The sequence below is a fragment of the Homo sapiens genome, chromosome 1, assembly GCF_000001405.40.
Source record: "Homo sapiens chromosome 1, GRCh38.p14 Primary Assembly".
NCBI classification, from domain to species: Eukaryota; Metazoa; Chordata; class Mammalia; order Primates; family Hominidae; genus Homo; species Homo sapiens.
Genome location: NC_000001.11, coordinates 157,170,070 through 157,194,219, shown reverse-complemented (window position 1 = coordinate 157,194,219; position 24,150 = coordinate 157,170,070). Strand labels below are relative to the sequence as shown.

The window sequence follows — 24,150 nt, the reverse complement described above, 5'->3', positions numbered from 1 at the left end:
GTGACCCTGCCCCGAGGACACGGGCGCCCACCAACCTCGCTTCCGCGCTGACCAGCACCTTCCAAGTATCAAGCCCTCCCTAGATGAGCCTTAGTCAGCTGGTCTGAGAGAGCCGGGTCTTTAGAACTGCACAGAATTGGGTCTGAATCTCATTTTCCACTATATTACCTGAGTAACCCTGGACAGATTGCTGAACTTGCCTGAGCCTGTGAGCTTATCACAATGGGGCACAAGCACTCACTTCAGGGAGTGTCTGCGTTGAGTAAGTGAGGCCCTGTGCGTGCCCAGTGAGGTCCCCGGCAGATGTTCAGCCAATGCTCCTATTTCATTCTGAACCCGGCATCTAGGAGATCCTTGCTTTATGAAGGTGCTGACTTTACCACCAGACCAGGGTCCAGGGCGCCCCCTCGTGGCTCTGCATTTCCAATTTTTCTTTCGAAATAAAACTGTCCTTGGGGAAAGGAGAGTCCTGAGGAGAGATACCCACGAATTCCTCAGCCAACTCACTTCTACGTTTTAAAATATGAGCCACTGAAACCCATTTACAATAAAGAAAAATGTAAATATAGTTTTAACACTCTTGCCCCCCACCGCACAAACACAGTGATTCTTCACCTACCAGAAAGAAATACCATTAAACATGTGCAAATGGATAAGCAGAGTAAATTATACACTTGAGGACCAAATCTCTCACAAAACAAGAAAGGCAATTAATTCACACATGCAGTAGAATAAACCATGGGGTAACTGAATGTTTGCCCCAGGGTCGCAGTCTCTGGGATGGAGTTCAAGTGCACAGCATGATGCCAAGTACCTCACCAATCAAAATAGCCATCAGAGATAAGACCAGGTTAATAATGAGGCAGAGGCCCCTCCCTCCTGGCTGGGATTTCTTTAGAGAGTGCAGCCCTGTTCTTGCCAGGACCCTCACTTGAGGGGGCCAGCTCCATTGAGGAGTAGATGCTTTCTCTTCCACTGGCCTTCAGAGTTGGTGGGACCCCGCAAATGATGTTGGCTACTATTGCCAAACTCCTCAAAACCTCCCTATACAGGAGATGGAAGAACCTCTCCCATACAGAGGTAGCTGTCCCCTGGGCTGAACACTTCCATCTATGGAGACCCTGACCTGGAGGGAGAGCTGGCCTCTGCCTATCCCACCCATGTAAACACTCTGCTCTCTGTCCACCTCTTCTTTCCCCTGGACCTTCTGCCCAGGGAATGTGCAGAGGAAAAGAGGGCAGTCCACTGTCCCCATTCTCTGTAGGGTGGGCAGATCCAGGAGGACCTGTTTATCAGAATCTAAGCAATAGAGCAGCATCCTCACCCCAATTATCTACTGCTAATTGCTCTGCCTATATTTGGGTGTTCCTGTATTTGGGCTTAAATTAGTTTTGACCCATCTCCTAAAGCAATCACCACCAAAAGCCAAAATCTACTCTTCTAACATAATATGTGTAGGTGTCCAATAGACCTTGTGGCCTCAGATCTGCTATAGCTGTTTCCTGGGCAGGTGCTCCCTGGCATATTTCAGGCAAATGACATTTATTAAACACTTACTATGTGCCAGGGGCTGAGGCTACACACTTGATATGCATCTCATGAATCCTCAAACAACTCTATCAGGTAGGCATGATCAGTATATCCACTTTACAGATGAGAAAGTGAGGCTTAGAGAAGCAAAGTGACTTATCCAAGCTTCCAGGCAGACGAATAACAGAAAGGATTCAAATCCAAATCAATCTGGCCCCAAAGCACTTGTTCTTGTCCTACACTTGCAGTACAATCTGGATTGTTTTTATCAACAGACCTTTACAATAACGTCTGTGCTAGGACAACTATTACTGAGCTTGTCTGGTAGCAAACAACAAACTCTTCCTATGTTTTCCTTGCCGAATACTTCAACTTGCTCATATTTTGGGGGCCCAGATGACATTTCCTTTAGCAGACTTATTTTAACTACCTTCATTCCCTTCTAAAGATGTTTGTGATGAATTTCTGACCTATCTGTGACCTTGAAGTCTGTTCATATCCAACAAAGGAGGCAAATGATAAGATTTTATGGACTTAGGTGGAATCTTGCCTGTAGATGGGAAATCACTCTCTGCGTTCCTAATGCTTGAAAACAAGGACCCTCTTGCCCAGATCTTGGTTTCTAAAGCAATTCCGCAGTAAACCAAACTAGAGCTCCTGGGAGAAATGGCTGCTTCTAGAACTGAAGCAGGAAATATACAAGATGGGCCTGGAGCATCTTGGAGAGTCCAAGTAAGAAAGTCCTCAAAAAAAAAGGCACACAGTGATGAGGCTGTGTCAAAAGAACACGGCACCAAATGGCCAAACTGGAACAATCTGAGCTACAAAATAAATATAGTGGCTTTGGATTATAGCCCGAAGCATAAAATACATATCAATGACTTTATACTGATACAAATAAATGATTGATTGAATAAAGAAAGAAATAAAGAAATTAAAAAAGGGGAATGATTGATTGAATAAATAAATGGGAAACAAGTAAATGGAGAAAAAATCTTCTGTGCAGAAAATTCCAAGTAATGTGTGAAGACATTCCACTCTCAAGGAGGTAAAGTTTAACTCCCTACTCTTTAAGTCTGGGCTGCACACGGTGACTTCTTTTCAAAGAGAACAGTGTGGAAGAGGGGAAAAACGAGTCACTTTACAATGGATGAAACTCAGCAAGCTTTACCTTTGTCAAGATAGTTGAGGTCAGCATCAATAGTAATGTCACGATGACAGCATGCACCCTCAAATGATGCGATGAAAATGGCACTTTACCTCTGTCATCCTCCTCCCCAAAACCTAAATTCCAAGTCTCATCATGAGAGAAACATCAGGCAAATCCCAATTGAGGAACATTCTTCAAAACACCTGACCAGTACCCCTCACGAATGTCAGCGAAAACAAGGAAAGTCTGAGTAGCTGTCACAGCCCAGAGGAGCCTAAAGAGGTATGTAGGGTGGGATCTGGGAACAGAAAAGGACATCGCGTAAAAACTAAGGACGTCTGAAGAAAGTATGGACTTGAGTTCATAAGAATGTATCCATATCGGTTTATTAATTGTAACAGATGTTAATAGCATAAGATGTTGATAAAAGGTGAAACTAGGTGTGGAGTCTGTGGGACTCTCGGTACTATCTGCCCAATGTTTCTGTAAATGAAAAACTTTTATAAAATATAAAGGTTATCTTATTTAAAGTGCTGCCACTCCTGAGCCCATGTTCTTTCTTGTTACCACAGCTCCTGTCAGATACTCAGGCATGTCCAGACATCATTTCCACAGAGGCCGGCCAGGTCTGTGTGTGAGGCTTCTCCCCTCTCTTACCCAGGAATGTTAGGTCCCAAACAAAAACCCTGTTCCCACTGCTGACTCTACGAAAGCAGAACTGAAAACTGATTGGGCTCTGTTCGGAGTCCCCGTTCATGGGGGCTGACTCCACATCCATTCCTGAGATAGTCACTGAGCACGGCCTGTGTTCCAAGCACAGCGCTACGTACTGGGGACTCAGATGAGTGCAGCGTGCGTGCTCCTGTCCATGCCATGTGCAGTCGAGTGGAGGAGAGGCATTAAACAAGGAAATGCCAAAATTTCTATCTATCATGAGAAATACAGAGAGGGGAAAGTGCAGATACTGGCAGAGGAGGAGGCATAAGGATCAGGGACGCCTTCTCTGAGGAAGGAGAATGATGCTGAATCCACAGAATTCGCTGGCCATTGGGAGGTCCCCATGCGTTCCCCCAGCTGACTCCAGCGGGCTGCTCTCGGGCATCACCCTGCTGGACCCTCAGCAAGCTCGGGCACAATGCATCACTCCATTCCTCAAGAAAAACTCTCTTTACTTGGCTCCCTGGATGCCAGACTCACCTGACTTTCCTCCTGTGTCACTGATTGCTCCTTCTCAGTCTTGTCTTCACACCCTCTAACCATTCCAGCACCCGGTCCCTGCTCTCATGACTCCCCTGCCTACGCTCACCTTCCCCCCGAGCCCACACTCATATGCCCAAATGCCTGCACAGTTCCCCTGGAGGCCTTGGTGCATCTCAAAGTCTCACTCCAACCTGCTCCTTCCCCAGCACTCCCCACCACGGTAAACAGCACCATCATCCCCCCAGCACTCAGGCCACAATCCTTGGGGTCGCCCTGGACTCCTTGTCCTCTCATACTCCACATCCAACCCGACAGCAAATCCTGTTGACTCTCCAAAATGTGTCATGAATTAGCCCACCTCTCACCACTTCCACTCTAGGCCAAGCTACCAGTGTCTCATCCTGGATTCCTGCTGGGCCTCCTCAGCTGCCTCCCTGGCTCCAGCCTGGATGCCAAGCAGTGGGTTCAACACACGCCAAAAGTGTGGGCCTTTAAATCAATGTCACACTATCCTCCTCTGCTGCTCACAATCCTCTGTCAACACCCCCGTCCCACTGACAATAAAATCCATGTCCTTGGCCGGGCACAGAGGAGGCTCACGCCTGTAATCCCAGCACTTTGGGAGGTGGAGACAGGCAGATCACGAGATCAGGAGTTCGAGACCAGCCTGGCCAACATGGTGAAACCCCGTCTCAACTAAAAATACAAAAATTAGCCAGGCGCAGTGGCGCGCACCTGTAGTCCCAGGTACTAGGGAGGCTGAGGCAGGAGAATTGCTTGAACCCAGGAGGCAGAGGTTGCAGTGAACTAAGATTGTGCCACTGCACCCCACCCTGGGTGACAGGGGGAGGCTCCATCTGGAAAAAAAAAAAAAATCCATGCCCTTACCTTGGCTTTCCAGGACCAACAAGATATGACCCCAGGCCTCTCTCCCACCTCAGCTCTCCCGGTTCCCAGACCCCACCACAGTCAGGCCCAGGCCACTCTCCCACCTCAGCTATCTCAGTTCCCTAACCCTAACACAGGAAGGCCCAGGCCACTCTCCCACCTCAGTTCAAGGTCCCCTTCATCACTGACTCCAGCCACGGGGGCCTTGTGACTGCTTCTGCAGCACTTCAGCCCAGCCTTAGCTGAAGGCATCTGCACATGCCCTTTCCTCTGCCTGGAAGGCTCTTCCTGCTCACTGAAATCGTTCTTACACTCGACTCAGGCCTAAAATGCTCCCTCTCCAAAGAGGCTTTCCCTGAGCATCCACAGAAAAGAGCTGCCCTCCTGCTTCCCTCCGCTTGCTTCATCTCCACCCACTGGCCACCACCTGACCTTCTCTCTCTACTTGGGCATTTGTTCATTTCCAGTGTCCTCCTGAAATGCAAGCTCTATGAGAGCTGGGTATTTGTCTCGTTCACTTCTGTATCCCTAGCAGCAAGAACAATAGTAAGCTCCCAATAGCAGGCTTCAGTTTGGGGATTGCCTAGCAGTTGAAAGCATGGATGCTGGAGCCGGACTACCTGGCTTCTAATCCCAACTGTGCCACCTCCTAGATTCAGAACGCTGCACAAATTACCAAGAGATGTTTCAATTTCCTCATCTGTAAAATGGAGATAATTATAATATATGATAGAGATGGTGACATGTTAAATTAGTAATTGGATGTAAGGCACCTTAGAATGGTGTCTGGCCTACAATAAAAATGCTAAATAATTTTAGCTGTTTGTAGAATTGTAGACTATAAATACTATTGATTTAAACCAAAAATGTCACATATCTATATTAGTTGGATGGAGGATAAAGGAGGGAAGACATGTGAGAGAGGAAAATCCTCACTTATCATAATGAAAAGTCAATAGTTAGTGCCTAAAATTGAACTGAAGATAATAACATCAGCACATTATTGAGAAACTTGGACGTAAAGGCTATAGTTGAAAGTGACTCTCATTGAAGAGCCAGTCTAGATGTGGAGAAGGAAGGGCAAGGGATTGCTGTTTTGCACCATTTTTCCTTTTTAAAAATGTACAACTACTGCACAATACAAATAAAATAAGGAAAGAAAAGCTGCTTCATAGGTACAATTAAAAAAACTATATACCTTTTGTGGCAAGTATGTGGTCTTATTGCACCCTAATTCCAAAGTGGAGGTACAGGGAAAGGTTTTCCAGAAAGGGCTATCATGGGGGAAAGGTACAGGGTGGGTGTAGGCTCCTGGGCATGGGCTGAGGAAGGAAATTTCCCGAGCCCTGAGCTGCAGCCTGAGGACTTGCCTGCTGCTGAAGATTGAATCTGGAAGGTAAGGATAAAGCAGTCAAGGCCCCAAGAAGGAACCAGGGCACCTGGGGCTCCAGACATTGGTGGGAATAAAAACAACGACAACAGCAACAGCTTGATGGAGAATGGGAACACAACTGCCCAAACTTCACAAATGTACTTGGGGCTCCGCCATGCCTAAAGCTGAGTGTCAGACATCAACCAATGCTCTCTGACAAGTCAGGCACTGATTTAACTGATTTGCTTTTCCTCCTGAAACTTTGTTGCTTTCCTATAGGAAATCCCGCCCTTGCCCTCATCCTGAGAGATGGCCTTTTCTGGAGCTGCTTTCCCTCCCAGATGTGTATAAAGAATGAATCGCTTTGTTTTACATGAATTTGTTCTCATTTGTTCATGGCAACTGGAAAGGTATATGGTGTCTGCATGGGGTGGAATAGAGTTTGGTCTTTACCCCATGTCACAGTCAGCAGAAAAGATGAGGTGCATCCACAGAGATGGGGATTAATTAGCTAAATGGAATTAAGCTACAAAATTGTCTTAATTGTTTCCTTTGACTTCACAGTGACTGAGCATTGTAAAAGATTCAAATAACATAAAATATTACATTATATATATAAACTAAAAAGAAGCAAACCTTGAGGAATTCCTCACCTCTGAGTGAGCCACTGTTGGTAATCTGTCATGTAGTATAGATTTTATTCTGTGCTTATCTTTCTATCTACCTATCTATACACTTTTACAAAAATTAAATCATACCATGCATTGCTGTTCAGTTTTTTCCAGTAACAAATATCTTGGACATGTTAACTCGATGCTATATCTAGGGTTATTCATATAGCTAAACAATGACATTCTTTCAGGAGAAAGAGAACCCAGATTCTAGTGGGGGAGGGGAGATATCTGGGCCTCGATGGAGAAATGCAACCTGCCTATTCCTGTCTCCTCCCGCTCCTCCTCCTCCTTCTGCTCCTCTTCCTCTTCTTCCTCTTCATCTTTCTTCTTCTTCTTCTTCCCACATTTCTTCCAGAGGTATAGCCCAGCTCCCAGGATCAACAGCACAAATGCAATGACTCCAAGAATATCTCGCGAAGGAGAGCCGTGTCCAGTCTACATGAACCTGTTCTCCCAGACAGAGAGTGAAAAAGGCTAAGGCAGGAAATAACTTGACATAACCATTGCCAAGAGGAGACAGAGGGAGAAAGCAGGTGGAGCAGTGGGAAGGAGCCTGGTGCAGAAGCTGCAGAGGGAGGAGCATGACAAGTCCATTCATTCAACTGGTTAAGAGCTGTTGCTTGGTGCCAGGAATGCTGAGATGCACAAGACGATGTCCACAGCAGCCCAGCACACAGGAGGGAAGACAGAAAATACCAACTGCCAGACAGAGGGATCGCAGCTGCAATAGAGGTTTACACCTTGTACAAGGTCATCAGGGAGGGCCTCCCAGAGGAGGTGCTGGCTAAACTGAGGCTTGAAGCGGGAGTAAGAGTTTCTCAGATATTCAGGGTGGGGCATTCCAGGAAGAAGGAGCACCACACTTAGGAAATTACTGTGTCAAAACACCAGCCCTGGGAGTTGCCAGCACCCCATTGCAGCAGGAGAGGAACAGGGCAGGGAGGAACCATGGCAAGGAGAGTCAGAGGGGGCAGGAGTCTGTGCCCAGAGGGCCTTGTTGTCACGCTAAGTACTGAACACTCCAGGATGGAGGACAGGGGAGGAGGTAACGGGTGGTTTAAAGGGATGCTGACACATCAGAGCTCTCCGGCAGCTCCTGGAGGAAAGGTTAGAGAAGATGTGACTGCACCAGGGTACCAAGTCATTCATTCATCCAATGAACACTGATTGTGAGCAAACTTTGCCAGAAGCTGTACTTGGCACAGGGATTCAAAGGAGAACATGATGGTGGCCTCTGCCTGAGGGCATTGCCATCTACAGAGCAAAGACATAACCCCACCACTACTACTCTGTGTGGGGTGCCATGGACGCTCCCTAAAGGATTGCTGCCTAAGTTCAGGACTGGATACATAACTGAAAAGGCCCTATGCAGAATGAAAATAGGAAGCCCTTGTTCAAACTTATTAACAGAACTTTAAACCAAACATGGGGCCTTTACATGGTCTTCACCCCATGAAGCAGAAGTGAAGGACACAGGACTTGGGATGGCTGATACAGAAAATCCAGCATGTGCAGAAGCCCAGAAGCTTGCAATGGCAGGATACATTCAGAGAACTATAGCAAGCAGTTTGGTGTGAAGAGAGCAGATGAGGCTAGCAACGTGGACAGAGGTGCATCTAAGCTCTGAATCATACGGAGAGTGGCTGGAATCAGGTTCCCACAGATGACACAGACAATGGCACAAGCTGTCCTGCTTTTCTCAAAGCCCACTCTGGATGCCCAGTGGAGGATGGATGGAGTGGGAGAGCTCCCGGAAGGCTGCTGCCTTTACCAATAAGGACATGGTGGGGTTGTGGGGAGGAGGGCATCGGTGGGAGAGATGGTTAAGGGCAGAAGCAAGGTGGATGTGACTCCCACACTGCTGTGTGTGGTGAGCAGGTGGAAGGTGGTGCTAATGCACATGGTGGAGAATAGAGCCCAGAACCATTAAACCCCAGTACTGCCTGAGCTCAGGAAGCCCCTCCTATCTTGCAGGCTACACTCACCACTCACCTTGACACAGGCTTCCCCAAGGTAAGGTTACATCTTTCTGATCTACCTAGTTGCTGACCACACAGGTGAGATTGCTGTTCCGCTGGCTCAGGGGCAGGTCCACAGCCAGGATCCAGGGGTTAGGGGCTGGTCCTCGTGTTTCTCTGTGCTCCAGCTCTCTGAGGAGGTCCTTGCTCTCCCAAGTCACATTCAGGTCCTCTGTGGCTCCTGGAGCCCTACAATCCAGGGTGATGTTACACAAGCCTGGTATGATAGACAGTGACTTGGCCAGGATCTCAGGATGAGGCACAGGCTCTGGGGAAGAAAGAGACAGAAGAAAGACACCTCACATTTGTGGAGAACATTGCACATCACACTTTCTTATCATTTTCTCATTAAAGCCATGGCATGCTCCCTATAGGAAAAGTGGGTGTGGGTGTATTCTACAGATAAAACACAATTTGCTCAAGGCCAAATACTGAGCAAATGACAAGGGAAGCCACTGAGTTCAGCTCCATGTTGGTTTCCTAGATTGAATAGGTCTTAAAACTGTCCCAAAGAAAATAGAAGCTGGACTCAACCCTCCCAGAGCCTTTTTTTTTTTTTAAATTAGGGTCTTTCCAGGAAAGAAAAAGTCTGGGATATAAGGGCTTATTCTGGCCCAGGTTCCTTCACCTGCATCCCCAGCTGAGGCCAAGCTGGGGACCGCACAACCCTTGAGGGACAGGACATCAGGTCAGCTCTGGGAGGCCAGAGAAAGGCCCATGCTCCCAAAAGTGGACGTGTCTATGGAGGATGCAGTGGTCACGAATAGAAACAATGACTCTGAATGTGGTTAGAAAGTGCCACTGGATCTGGGAGCCGTGGCTCACGCCCGTAATCCCAGCACTTTGGGAGGCCATGGCAGGCGGATTGCTTGAGCTTAGGAGTTTGAAACCAGCCTGGACAACATGGTGAAACCCCGTCTCTAGAAAAAATACAAAAATGAGCCAGGTGTGGTGGCGGTCTCCTGGAATCCCAGCTACTTGTGGGGGCAGAGGTGGTATGATCGCTTGAGCCAGAAAGTTGAAGCTGCAGTGAGCTGTATTTATGCCACTGTGCTCCAGCCTTCCAGCCTGGGTGACAAAGTAAGGCCCTGTCTCAAAACCAACAACAACAACAACAAAAGAACATGCTACTGAACCTGTGGTGCAGACAGAAGAGAGGAATATGATTCACAGGCCAGCCTGAGAAATCACATGGGACCTAAAGCTGCAAAAGCCACTCTCTCCATGGCAGGATATTCCCCCATGCAGAGAGGAACTTTAGGGAAAGAAAGAGTTGGCTAAACTAGTTTCCTAAGAAGTGTCGCAGTGTAAACTTTCTCCTACGCCTACGGAGGCTTTGAGAGCCAGATTTGTGGTGGCTCATGTGACTGAGGCTGGCCCTGGGCTGGGGCTGAGTGAGAGGGGAGGACTTCATTCACAGGGATTCCCAACTGTGGTAGGCAGAACAGTGGCCTCCAAAATGTTTAGGACCAATCCTGGTAACCTGGGAATAAGTTAGCTGCAAGGCAAGGGGAATTAAGTTCCCAGATGGAATTAAGGTTGCTAATCAGCTGACCTTAAAATAGGGAGATGATTCTGAATTCCCAAACACTAACATCAGTGTTCTATTAGGAAATACAGGAAGATGGCCATGAGCCATGGGACGCCAGCAGCCACTAGCAGGTGAAAAACGCAAGAAAATGGCTTCTCCCCGGAGCCCTGAGAAAGAACACAGCCCTGCCACCACCTTCATTTTAGCTCATGGATACTTGTGTCACATCTCTAGCCTACAGCACAGTGAGATAATAAGTTTGTGTTGCCTTCAGCCAATAATTTTTGGTAGTTTGTTACATTAGCGATAAAAAACTACTATACAAATTAATGTTAATCGTATATAGGATGATTAATGTTATTGGAAAAATTGCTATTTTCCTGAATTTCCATTTCCTGTCCCAAAACACTGAAGAGATTTTCTTCCTGCTGTGAATCTCAGCTCTGCTCTGTATCTCTGGGGACCTCATGTGCCTTATTTTAGTGGAGAAAATGGAGTCTGAAGACTGGTGTCTGAATGGAACCCTGCATGGGGCCTATGTGACACTCTAGGGACAAAAAAAGCAGGTAAGCCAGAGGATGGGGGAGGGAGGGGTGTCACTCACCATAGACAGTGAGGTAGAAAACCTGGCCAGATAATTGTCCCCCAGTTAAATGGATCATGGCCATGTACTGCCCACTGTCTTCAGGGGCCAGGTTCTCAATCCTCAGAGACAACACGCTAGGCACATGGACCCTCTGCTTGAACTTTTCCTCAAGGCCGACCCAGGTTGGAGAGTCGGCCCCCCTGTGGACTCACAGCACCTGTGTATGATTTGACAGAGTACCCAAAGTCCATACAACCTCCTCCAGCTCGGCGTCTACATCTACTCTGAGCTTCTCAATCACATTCAACAACACAGAACCTCCTCGGATCCCCTTCAGACAAATGTGAGCTCCAGAATCCTTCACTGCAGGGCCATGTGCTCCAGAAGTGTTGGCTGTTGTGCTGCAGACACCTAGGGCATGGAAACAGGAAACATGAGTATTTCCTCAGCAAGAACAAATGAGAGAACCACAGAACTTTCTATTTTAGTAAAATTTATCCAATATACTCCCTTGATTTTAGGAATAAAGCTAGTACAACAAGTCTGAAGCAATTCTGAGAGCAAGTCCTGGTTCTTGTGGAGTGTAATGTCTAAGTATTTTGTACAATTTTGGTATAAAAATGGACACTAAACATCAGTGTTCTGGCCAGATGTGGTGGCTCAGGCCTGTAATCCCCGCACTTTAAGAGGCTGAGGCAGGTGGATCGCCTGAGGTCAGGAGTTCAAGACCAGGCTGGCCAACATGGTAAAACCGAAACCCTGTCTTTACTAAAAATACAAAAATTAGCCAGGCATGGTGGTGTGCGCCTGTGATCCCAGCTACTCAGCAGGCTGAGGCAGGAGAATCGCTTGAACCCAGGAGGCAGAGGTTGCAGTGAGCCAAGATCATGCCACTGTACTCCAGCATGGGCAACAAGCAAGACTCCATCTCAAAAATAATAATAATAATAATAAAGTGTTCTATTTAATCTGAAGCTCAAAGAAACAGCCATTTTTTCCACCTGGATAAATGTGGGCATTCATTAGACTTGCTGGGAGATAACACTCCAGTCTCCTGTATGGCACTTTCCTAACAGATTTTCAGGAATAATTCTGGCCAAAACAGTGTTTGTCTTACTTCTTGCAGCATTGCCTGGAACCAGTGAAATAGAAATTAGTGTTTTCTGCTGAGCAGACAGAAACTGAAAAGGTCTGGCTGAGGATTGTATTAGTGGCTTCTAAATGCCACAGCTGCAGCAGGCCTTCCTGAGTGAGGGCTGACCCCGAAGACCCCTCTCAGGAGCAGAGGCAGAGAAAGCAGAGGGTCACGTGGAGGGGACTGAGAGAGGAGGAGTCCCTTCCTCCCTTGAGGGCTGAGGAAGTGGCCACAGGGACACCCAGGGCCTTCTCTCTGAAGAAGCCTGAAATAGGCTCACTGGCTGTCAGTGCCCGTCAGGCCACAGGATAGGACAGGACAGGATGGGGAGACAGAGCAGAGACCTTGATAGAGCCACAGGAGTCACCAAATCCCAGAACCTCACTGCTGAGAGGGGACTCAAGGATGATCTGTCCAAGCTCCTGCTTTTATTACAGAGTAGGCACTCTCTATGGGGTAGACCTGTCCTGAGTCACACAGGGCAGAGCCACACCTGGAGCCCAATTTCCTCCCCCAGCCCAGGGCCTCCCCTGCAGGACGCTGCCCATGAGCTCTTCCATCCTCACCTGCCCTCCCCGGAGCTCAGCTGCACTGTCGTCTGAGCCCACCAGGCCCTGAGCAGCTGCCGGGGTCTCCACCCCAACTGCCCTCTCCTGAAAAGGGGAAGCAGCTACTTTCAGTGGCTGAGCAGAGCAGGGACTTCTGGCTAGCAGAGGGTTAAACAGGCAGCCTGGACAGACCCCACTTCCTGGACGAGGGAACTGGGAACCAGAAAGAGAGGAGGCTCAGCCCTCAGGCTGCCAGGGAGGATCTGCCCCAGAAGGTGGATGATGAGCATAGCAGGGAGGAAGATGAAGATTCAGAGAGGGAAGGAAGGCAGCAGGAGCTCTCTGATCTACAGAGATGCTAATCCTGAAGAAGAAAAAACAAGCCAGGGAGCAGGTGGTCATTTACAAGGTGGAGTTAAACATTCATTTAAACTGTATAAAATTTTAAATCCTGTCATCAGCATAAAAGATTGTTCATTTTTATCCAGGCATGGTAGTGCACACCTGTAGTCCTAGCTACTTGGGGGGCTGAGGCTGGAGGATCACTTGAGCCCAGGAGGTCGAGGCTGCAGTGAGCCAAGATCACACCATTGCACTCCAGCCTGGGAGACAAAGTAAGACCCTGTCTCAAAAAAGAAAAAAAAAAAAATATATATATATATATATATAGTCCATTTGTCTGACATAGCTCCCATCACCACACTCACAAACCAACAATTCATGTTTGATGCCCAAACTGCGCTTCTTGGTACCATCTCCATTGTCTCATGTCTCTGTCTGGAGCCCCTAATGCAAAGACCCTTTCTCCTCCAACTCCCTGCTGGCAGACACTGGGTGGGCATTCAGTAAATCTTGTTATTGTTATGGTCAGGGGCTCCCCAGAAGTCAAGGACCACCCTCACCTGCAACTGCCTCTGTCTCTGGGAAATTATATGTGAGCTGAGCCACCCTCAGGCTCCCTCCTTCCCTTCCACACTTCCCCATCCAAACACATGTTCAGGAAGGGTGTTAGAGTTTAAGAATGATGAGGACAAATTCCTCATTTCCACTACATCATCACTGCTTCATCCCCATCTTCCTCCCTGGGTCAAGGGTGAACTGGAACAAGGACTATCCAGAAACCAAAGGAAAAATGCATCCAATTATGGAGCTTCGGGATTCTTGCAAGGACGCAGAGCAATTTCACAATGATGTTCCTTCTGCGGACAGCCTCTGACCAAATTCCACAGCAAGAGGTCTTGTCTCATTCAGTACCACACCACTGGGACAACCAATTTCATTCTTTCCCAGTAATTTCCTGAGAGAATCACTTTCTTTGTCTGGACACGGATCTCCTACCCCTAAAATGAGAAATTCTAAGTCCTTTCCTTCTTTCTCTCCCTCCCTTCCTTCCTTCCATTCTTTCTTTATTTTTCTTTGTATCTTCAGAAATCTTCCAACCCCCATGCCTACAAGGAAAACTCTATACAACTGAACATATTTCCAGGTAAATAACATTGTAGAAGTGGAGAACGCCTACATTTTGCTGACTACAGAAGGTTACCTATGTAAAGAGGACGTAGCCCTATTTCTAAGCCCATTGTTTTTTCAAGACATCCTGTTTTACAAATGCTCTCTAATCTGCTCAATTTCATATAATTCCCTGCAAGTTCAAGTATTGGCTGGAATATTAAAACAAAAAAAATTATAACCATAAAACTTCCACAAAAATTCATCTTTACTATGTCTTATTTTGTCATTAATTTTGACCTAATTTCATTGTATATACAAACATATAATCTTAAATAGAGTCATGAATGTGATATACAGCCTAGACTAGGACAGTCTTTCTTTCAGTTTCCTTTTTTGCTTAATTCCCTGTGTTCTCTGCTTTTTCTCCCTCCATTTTTCCTGCCCAAATTCATGCTCTGTTGTAGCCCATGTTAGCAATCTACTGATTCCTTCCACATTGCCAATATAGTCTTAAAAACATGTGACTGTAAAGATGTAAACCCTTAAATTTTGGAAGCTGCTTTTCCTTTTATAAAGTAAGGATTTCATTGTGTTTCATTTCCTGAACTTGCTGCTAGGATTCCATACCTCATACTTCAAAAAAATTTAAAACTCCTTCCAGGAAACTGAACTATTTCTTTTTGTAAGCCTCCATAATATTCCATGGTACAGATACTCCTCAGTTTGGTCAATCATTCATGAATTGATGGGCACCTCCTCTTTTTTCCAGGGTTTTTCCCTACAACAGTGCTGTGATAAACATGGTTTCACCTGCGGCCTCCAGGACCTGAGCAGCATTTCAGGGTGGAGGGAAAGGCAACTCTCAGGGACAATAAAGGGATCCTCCTGTGGTATTCATTTTAGGCAAAGATAAATGCTGGTTAATATTTTAAATGAAAACTATTTGGCCAGGCGCAGTGGCTCACATCTGTAATCTCAGTACTTTGGGAGGCTGAGGCAGGCGGATCACGAGGTCAGGAGATCGAGACCATCCTGGCCAACATGGTGAAACCCCGTCTCTACTGTAGCTGGGTGTGGTGGCGGGCACCTGTAGTCCCAGTTACTCAGGAGGCTAAGGCAGGAGAATCTCTTGAACCCAGGAGGCAGAGGTTACAGTGAGCCAAGATCACACCACTGCACTCTAGCCTGGTGAGAGAGCGAGACTCCATCTCAAAAAAAAAAAAAAAAAAAAAAAAAAAAAGAAAAGAAAACTATTGCAAATTACACAAACAATTTTAAGATAAACCTGAGACCTCCAAGTGTCCTCTCCTTTGTGATGACCTGTGAGCCCCAAGCCCAGGCAGGGGAGTTCATATTCACTCTCCTTTTTCAACGGAGAAGCCCAGGACAGAGGAGCTTCTTCCAGTTCAGACAGCAGGGTTCTAGTTCTGCCCCTCCTCCACAGGACAGCTGCAAAGACCGTCAGAGCACCTCTGAGTTCCTGGCTGGGAATGTATTGTTCCCACCCTCTCTTCCCCAGGAGACAGGTAGTTTGTCTGTCTTCATCCCTCTTTCCAGGCAGGTAGTTTGTCTGTCTCCATCCCTCTTTCCAGGCAGTATCAGGCCACCCTCCTACTGCAGCAGAAGCGGCCCCACCTCCCTGGTAAAGGTTCCCTCAATACCACCAAGACTGCCCTAGTTCAGGGTTCCCAGCCTCCTCACCACCAAAAGGACTTTTTGTTATTTCTATCCTGGGGCTCCAACCAAATATGCTGCATTTGTAAATCATAACAGAGTGGTTTTCTCTTTTTGTGGCCCAAAGACAGCGGAACCTGAACAGCCCACCCAGTGGTCAGACCCAGCTAGCCCAGCCCCACCCAACTGCCCTCCCTTCCCAGGAACCCTGCACTCACTGAGGAGGAGATTGATGAATCCCAGGAGCCCTGAGTCCCAGCAGAGGGACTGGCCCCAGAGCAGGGCCCCATGGCAGGCTGCCTGCTGCTTGTTCAGCTGCAGAAGAAACATAGGAAGAAACGAAGGCAAGAGGGAAGGACAAGTTTGAGCACAGGAGCCCTTCCCCACTTTAAGGGTGGGGCTAGCAAGTTACTACTGGGGAGACAGCCACCAGTCTAGAGAAAGCCATTCAGCTCTTTCATCCCCTCCCAGTCCCTACAGTACCACACACACTCAATAAGTAATTGCAGAAGAAATGAAAGTACAACCTCACTCTGTGATGTTCCTGGCAGTTTGTTAGACTGTCCCGTCCCTGCGGGCACAGCCAGCTTGGTGTTCCCTCCCACACCCTCCCCTGATGCTTCCCTGGGTTCACAGCTCTGCCCCAGGTGGCCCTGGTGACCAGTGTCAGCCTATGGTCAGGCACAGAAGTCACCCTCTTACAGCAAGGCTGGGCTATGCCACTCCTGAGTTCAGTGGCTTTCCTTTGTCACTGCCTTATTTAGTAAATTAAATTTCTTCTTTTTTATTTTTTTGAGACAGGGTCTCACTTTGTCACCCAGACTGGAGTGCAGCGGTGCAACCTTGTCTCACTGCAGCCTCAACCTCCTGGGCCCATCGATCCTCCCGCCTCAGCCCCGCCAAGTAACTGAGGCACCACCACTCCCAGCTAATTTCTGTAGAGATGGGGTTTTGCCATGTGGCCCAGGCTGGTCTTGAACTCCTGAGCTCAAGCAATCCACCTTTCTTGGCCTTCCAAAGTGCTGGAATCACAGGCATGAGCCACCGTGCCCAGCCAGATTTCTGTTTAGATTTTCCAAAAACTTCAACTGTCAGTTGCCTAAGTAAGAAGCTATGGGCAAAAGAACAAAGTTCTCGTGGATAGTGTAAACTCCCCACATCCCCATTGCAAATCCTGGCATTTACCTTTTGCTGGTGGCCATATGGTTTCTCAGTTCCCACTAGTGCTAGTCACCTTTCTATACACTCAGGGTAAGGACAGACCCCCACAGAAGCTGACAGTCTACAGAAAGCCATTCAGCCATGGCTGGATTGAACCATGACTTCCCCTGTAAGTTCCTCCCAGCCCTGCTCCTGCAGGACAGAGAGCTGCATACTCCCTCTGCCACAGCCTCAGCTGCCTTAAACTCTCCACCTCCTGCTGAGCCTCTTCTCTCCAGACCTAGATACACCACAACATCTGTGAGTTCCCCCTTCCGTTACCCTGGGGGAGCAGTATCATTTTCCTAACCCCAAGGCACCGCCTCCTTTTCCCCACCTGGTCTTCCCCGATGGCTGCACAGGCAGAACACCCCGAAGGCTGGAGCTGCAGGCCTGACCCCATGACCACCTCAAGGTAGGTTTCTGGGTATTAAATCCATTTAATGGATGTGAAACCCAAACCTCAGAGGGCTTATGAACCTGTGAAAGGTCACACAGCTAATCAAGGCACAGGGTCTGGACTCCTGACCACAAGCTCAGGACTCATCGCTGACATCACAGCCACTCTCCCATCCCACTGTGTGTCCCCAAGCACGTCACCTTGAGTGCACTCTGTGCTCTCACCCAGAACTGCTCCACAGATTCCCAGGAGAGAAGATATTCAAGACTGGTTTGATTCTCACTCCCCTACCTGGTAATGGGGAAGTTACTGCAAAAGGCAGTCCACAAGTTCTAGAGTTAGAATATCCTTCCTATGTGGAATCAAAATCTGGGCAGCTCATCTGCGCTCACCCTCAGGATCTCAGCGTGACGGGAACCAAGCCTGGCCGGGCTGCTCCCTCAGAGAACTAATTAGAGGAAGGGTCACTGAGTCACCCAGCCCAGAGGGCATCACAGGCAGGAGGGTGGTCCTGTGTCAGGACTCAGGCTGTGGAAGGAGGCAGACATGAAAGTGACAGCAAAGAGGGGAAGCCTGTCTATGGCCAATGAGATCTGATGCCTCCCTGAGATAGACCCAGAGCTGCAGTGAAGTCAATGACCAAGCACCTTCTTGGATCCACTGGGTTTTTTCTTGGAAACCAGGGCAGAACAGAGCCAAGACAGCAGGTGTGGGTGCAGGTGTGAAGGGTTAGACTGGGACGGAAAGAAAGTGGGGGACTATGAGACAGTAAAGTTGGACATTTTCAGAAGCATAGGGAGGCTTCATTGTGTCAAGCCCTGGCCAGGGATCAAACCAAGCTCAGGCAGATCTCTGAGGGCAAGCTGGCACATTCCCTTTATAAACAGGCTCATCCAACACCCATTATGCCCCTGACCTAGGATGCCTTCCTGTACTGCAGGAGATGAAAAGCTCAAAACTACATTTTTCAGACACATTTCAGCTGAGGTCCCACAGGTCATTTCACATACACAGAACTTTTACTGAGACTGAGTTACATGGGGGTGGAGGCAAGGTGCAGGCCATGTTTTGGGCAAGGAAGGCTGGCAGCAATGGCATGGTCACAACCAGCAGCTCCTGACCTCACTCTGTTGCCCAGGCTGGAGTGCAATGATGCAATCTCAGCTCACTGTAACCTCTGCCACCCGGGTTCAAGCAATTCTCCTGCCTCAGTCTCCCAAGTAGCTGGGATTACAGGTGCCCACCAGCAGGCCCAGCTAATTTTTGTATTTTTAGTAGAGACGGGGTTTCACCATGTTAGTCAGGCTAGTCTTGAACTCCTGACTTCAGGTGACCCATCTGCCTCAGCATCCCAAGGTGCTGGGATAATGGGCATGAGCCATCACGCCTAGCCCTGACCTTGCAGTTTTCTTTCTGTCCACGGCACAGGCGGCAGCTCTCTCCACAGCCCAATTCTGCATTGTGGCTCTGGACACCATTTCTGGAATCTCTGGCATGAGTTTGTTTCTTTCATTCTACCAAAAAATCATGGAACTAAAATGTATGTTTTCATAATACATTTTCTCCTAAAGAAAAAAGCTAAAGAGGATGCTGTCGTCTGCCACTAAAAGATGTAATGGAAAACGGAATATGAAATTCTCTATCTGACCTGTGTTGGTATGAAGGCCATAAGGAACTAATATATCTTATGTAATTTATTTACTATAACAAAAAAGAGAAAATGTCAAAAGCCTCACCATTCTTTGTGAGACAATTGGAAACTACCTTCACCTCATGAAGCTGAGCAGCCAGAGAAAAATATTCTGGGGGTCAGGAGCCCCCAAAGGCAGCTGATGAGAGGTCCTATGCTCAGGTCACTGAACTGGGCCCCTGTGTCCGTGGCAATGAGACAGGTGCCTGCCCTGAACTAAGTTCCATGGGGTAAGAATGGGGAGAGTCTGACCCATGGTCACATTGGGGCATGTCACCTGTGAGGGGCACATGGGTATCATTATGATCACTTTCTCATTTTACAGATGAGGAAACTGAGGTTGCAAAGAGATGAGCTGGTAAACCCAAGGTGTGGAAAGTGAGTAACTGGCCAGAGCCAGGCCTCGGACCAGGTCCCTGGCCTCCCAAACCAATGGTCTTTCCAAATTCAAGTCCCCTCTCAGTGAAGTGAGTCTGCCACACTAGGATGACTTCAGACCTTGAGGAGCCACACCAAGGGAGAGGGAGGCCAGGCCTGTCCCAGGCGGCATCTCACCTCCCTCATACCACCCCCAGGAAGAGGAACCAAGGCCTGTGGCTCCATATCCAGAGCCTCTGGGCCCCAAGGCAGCCCTGGACCAACCACAGCCACCTCCGTCTACACTCTGCCAGTCACAAACAGGCCTGCACTGCCTCACGCCCAGCACAGCCCTGCACACATGCTGGCCTGAAAAGCCTCGGTGGTCTCACTGGGGACCCTCATACTCTAAGGTGGAGGTGGCCAGCCCTGCCCTCCTCCCTCGGGGCTCATGGTCTCATTTCACAAGGTGTTTTCATCCTAGTCTTCGCCACCTCAATCATGCCAACTACGTTACCTTTTGAACCTGGGAAAGGCCCCACTGATGGAGAGACAGCTTGGGCCTATGGTAGGGCCAGCTCCCGCCCAACGTCAGTGTGTTGGTGACATTCGCACTCCAACCACAGCAGACAGGTGCCTTTCTGCAGGACTTCCTTTATCTCAAGAGTTCCTTCTCAGTTCTTGGTTTCCAGAATCTCTCTTTCATCCAGCAGAGGAGGAGGACAGGCCACATCACCCAGTCCAACCTCCAAACCCACCAGGGACTCAGGTCACAGCTGCTCCACCCCCCAGGGAAGCCTGTGGTCTCTGCAGATCCCAACTGCAACCCCAGAACGTGCCCACAGACCTTTGAGCCCCCTCTCGATGGGGCACAGAGGAAAGGGAGAGCCCAGCAGGAGCTGTTCACTGGGAAAACAACTCCTCATTTACAGGGGTTAGCCCCATTCCTTATGGACCACAGAAGGATGCCCCGTCAGCCTCCAGTCTGCCCACCTGCACCCAGTGCCTGAGTAAGAGCCTTCCCTGCCATCCCCTATCAAACGTCTGCTGCCCCTTCCACATGCAGCTCACCTGGCCCTGGGGAGCCGTCCCCGACCTGCCCCAGGTGAATTAGGTGCTCTGGGCTCTCCCAGCACTCTTAGCTGTTGTCCATGAAGACCCTGAGGGTGTCATGTATGCTCTGGAACAAGACAAGCAGCTTCCATCTAGGCTACAGGCGGCAGCCTGCTCTGATTGTCATGCAGCACATATTTACTGAGCACACCTGAGCCTGGCACTGGAGGAGACTTCCCTTCCTGTCCAGTCACCACCTGCTGCTGTCACTGAGCCCCTAGGTGGTTTCAAAGAGAGCACAGCCTCACTCAGCACCTCCCCTTCTGACAGACATCTCAGCCCACAAGGGGCCCACGTTCTGTGGTAAAATGAAGGAGAGCTCCTCTCCCTTAAATGTTCTCAGGCAGCCCTGAGCAGTCAGGTGTGTGCTATTGTTCCATAGCTGACACAGCAGCCCACCCTGGCTGTGTGGTGCCCACCTCCTTAGGAGCCTGCAGGGCTCCAGCTCAGGGCTGGGCCCCAAGACACACTCCAGCATCAGCCATCTTGCTTGCCAGAGGAGGCGCATCAAATGCAGGTTGAACTTCTCAAATGCAGTTATTTGCCCTCAGCAAAAAAATATGAGAGGCGGGAAAATATCCATTTAAATGTGCAGCAATTCTACTCAGATCCCAAAGTAAGTATGACATGGGAGCCGCAAATCCATGGTGCCCCTGGTCCATCTCTCTGCTCTCGCCTGCCTCTCAGATGTGCACCTTCTGCTGCCTGGTGGGCAGCAGTGAGCAGGTAGCAGTTTAACCACTGGCTCCACAGGAGGAAAAAGCCCTGGTTTCTAGTAATTGCTAATTTCCATGGTGTAAATATTCCCACTCTGTCTAATTACAACCACCAACATCATGACTATGAACACAGATTTGGGAGGAGATGCACAAAACCAGCTCACAAGCCGGCTCCAGCTGGCTCCAGCACACACTGTCTGTGAGTGGATCTAATAATTAAATATGCAGGACACATTTTTCATATAGCATGGCCCCTCAACACCAGCCAACCATTTCATCGGGAAGAAAACACAGCCTCTTCCCAAGCAGAAGGAGAAACTTGCTGAGGGATGGAATGTTGGTCTCCAGTAGAGCAGCACTCTAGGGGATCCACACAGCAGATTGTAACTGTAATTGATTTCCACCTCAGAACCCAATTCTTCCCATCAATCACCAAAGCTAAGGCTTGGTTACTCCTCACCCAGCCTCCTCCTTCACTGCTGGGCTGTCCCAGCCTAAAACTCACGTGGGGTCCCCACTGTCCACTTCCCCACAAGACTGTGTAGTCTGAGGGCACAGAAAGGCTTTTCCTTTGGGAGCCCAGCATGCTTGGAGACAGGACTTGGAATCCAACTGGACGTTGATTCCATTCCTGCTTCTACCGCTAAGCTCTGTCATCCAGCAGATCCTCAATGGCCTCATCTGGAAAATGAGATAATACCTCCTCTGCAGGGTTGCTGGGAGGACTAAATAGATAGAAGAAAGCCCCACACACAGCACAACACACAACAGGGCAACTCCGACTCCCTCCCCTCCCCTCCCCTATTCTTCCCCGGAGAAACAGGGCTGAGCCATAGTCGGGCAATGTCGCCACTTAGTGGCTGTGCTCAGAATTGCCCAAAAGACCAACAGTTCCTGGATTTGAGGAAAACAGGGAAAGCACTTAGGGAAGAGGTGTTGAGTTTCTGAGAAGCCATTTGGCATTATGGAAAGTGACTGGGTACCGGCATCTGGAAAACCAGGTTCAGGTCCCAGCCTTGCCAAATATTAGCTGTTTGATCCTAATCAAATTATGTAACTTCTCTAAGCATCAGTTTCATCATGTGTAAAATGGGGACGATAATTTTAACCTCAGATTAATGCTCGGAAAGCGTTTGTTGCCCTTATCTTGCTCCTGATGCTCTTCCAGCCCTCTCTCCCCATCCTGATAAACATCACCTTCCTGGTTCCTGACCCCCCATTAGCTCCCCAGGGCCACAGCTTCTCATCCCTGTTTTCAGGAGCACTAATTCCCCCAAGACACTACCTCTCAGAGAGAGATTTTCAAAGTCCACCGTCTTATCCTCATTGCTTCAGGCTCAAAAACTTTACATTCTTACAAATTTAATAATTCCTAGTGACACATTCATGGTGACAAAATTAAGTCGAGATTATATACAAAGCAGAATGCCAAGTCTCTCATTTACAATAAAAGTCACCCATCTCTGGGAACAGGTACCAAGCCAGAGAATCAGGACACCCTCTTCCCATTAACAAAGTCTCTTCCCAACCACAAGGGCTGTTGCTGGACACAGACTCCGAGATGGTCACGGTGAGAGACTGTTTGTCCCACATTCAGGAACATCCCGAGACTCCCTAACCCCGGCTTCAAACACCTCCCTGGTTGGCAGATGCCTGTGACCCTCGTCCCGAGGACACGCGCCCACCAGCCTCGCTTCCGCGCTGACCAGCACCTTCCAGGTATCAAGCCCTCCCCACATGGGCCGAAGCCTTAGTCAGCTGGCCTGGGAAAGCCCAGGCTTTAGAACTGCACAGAATTGGGTCTGAATCTCATTTCCCACTTATTACCTTAGTGACCCTGGACAGATTGCTGAACTTGCCTGAGCCTGTGAGCTCATCACAATGGGGCACAAGCACCCACTTCAGGGAGTGTCTGCGTTGAGTAAGTGAGGCCCTGTGCGTGCCCAGTGAGGTGCCCGGCAGATGTTCAGCCAATGATCCTATTTCATTCCAAACCCCGCATCTAGGAGATCCTTCCTCCTTTGTGAAGGTGCTGGATTTACCACCAGGCCAGAGTCCAGGGCGCCCCCTCGTGGCTCTGCGTTTACCAAATTTTATTTCAGAATAAAATTATTGGCCGGCTCGTTGGCTCACACCTGTAATTCCAGCACTTTAGGAGGCAGAGGCGGGAGGACTGCTTGAGGCCAGGAGTTCAAGACCAGCCTGGGCAACAGAGCAAGACCCTGTCCTTCCTAAAATTTTTAAATTAAAAAAAAAAACCTCTCCTTGAGGATAGGAGACACCTGAGGAGAGATACCCCCACTAATTCCTCAGCCATCTCACTTTTGTATTTTAAAATAGGAGCCACTAAAATCCATTTACAATGAAAGAAAAATGTAAATGTATATCTATAAGGCATTTTTCCCTCCGTAAACACAGTAGATTCTTCACTCATCAGAATGAAATGTCATTAAACCTAAGCAAATGGATAAGCAGAGTAAATTATACATTTCTATCTAAAAGACTGGAACAAACAGGTCCATTTATCAGAATCTAAGCAATAAAGCAGCATCCCCACCCCAATCTAGGAAAAATATCTACTGCTAATTGCTCTGCCTGGGTGTTCCTGTATTTGGGCTTAAATTAGTTTTGAGCCATCTCCTAAAGCAGTCTCTACAAAAAGCCAAAATCTGTTCTTCTAACATAATATGTGCAGGTGTCCAACAGGCCTTATGGGCCTCAGACATCTGCTTAGGTGTTTCCTGGCCTAGGGGCCCCCGGCCATATATCAGACAGTTGACATTTATTAAGCACTTACTATGTGCCAGGGGCTGAGGCTACACACTTGATATGCATCTCATGAATCCTCAAACAACTCTATTATTTCTTTTCTTCTTTTTTCTTTTACAAACCCTTGTGTCAAGGGCTGAGTTT

The 24,150-nt window shown here is 48.4% G+C and overlaps 1 long non-coding RNA gene across 3 annotated transcripts, besides 3 other annotated features; it reads right to left on the bottom strand.

Annotated features, from left to right (window-relative positions):
* Positions 204 to 436: a silencer, noted in NCBI's record as "fragment chr1:157163574-157163806 (GRCh37/hg19 assembly coordinates)". NCBI's record gives its function as "represses an EF-1alpha promoter that drives an FKBP-Casp9 reporter gene in an ReSE screen in K562 erythroleukemia cells {active_cell/tissue: K562}" and the evidence as "EXISTENCE:reporter gene assay evidence [ECO:0000049][PMID:32094911]".
* LOC107985211 (uncharacterized) lies at positions 3,041 to 20,729 on the bottom strand. 3 transcript variants are annotated; one of them, XR_007066653.1, is made up of 4 exons: positions 20,477 to 20,729; positions 10,968 to 11,360; positions 8,807 to 9,100; positions 3,041 to 7,259 (listed from the first exon to the last, which is right to left on the bottom strand). It is a non-coding gene; the product is annotated as an uncharacterized LOC107985211 (long non-coding RNA). The 3 variants fall into 3 exon arrangements; XR_001738252.2 differs by lacking the exon at positions 20,477 to 20,729 and adding an exon at positions 15,977 to 16,091; XR_001738250.2 differs by lacking the exon at positions 20,477 to 20,729 and adding an exon at positions 15,977 to 16,091 and having other exon boundaries at positions 3,041 to 9,100.
* Positions 12,228 to 12,387: an enhancer, noted in NCBI's record as "active region_1887". NCBI's record gives its function as "activates an Ori minimal core promoter by ATAC-STARR-seq in GM12878 lymphoblastoid cells {active_cell/tissue: GM12878}" and the evidence as "EXISTENCE:reporter gene assay evidence [ECO:0000049][PMID:35858748]".
* Positions 20,938 to 21,439: an enhancer, noted in NCBI's record as "H3K4me1 hESC enhancer chr1:157142571-157143072 (GRCh37/hg19 assembly coordinates)". NCBI's record gives its function as "activates a minimal SCP1, AML or CMV promoter by ChIP-STARR-seq in primed H9 embryonic stem cells {active_cell/tissue: H9 hESC(primed)}" and the evidence as "EXISTENCE:reporter gene assay evidence [ECO:0000049][PMID:30033119]".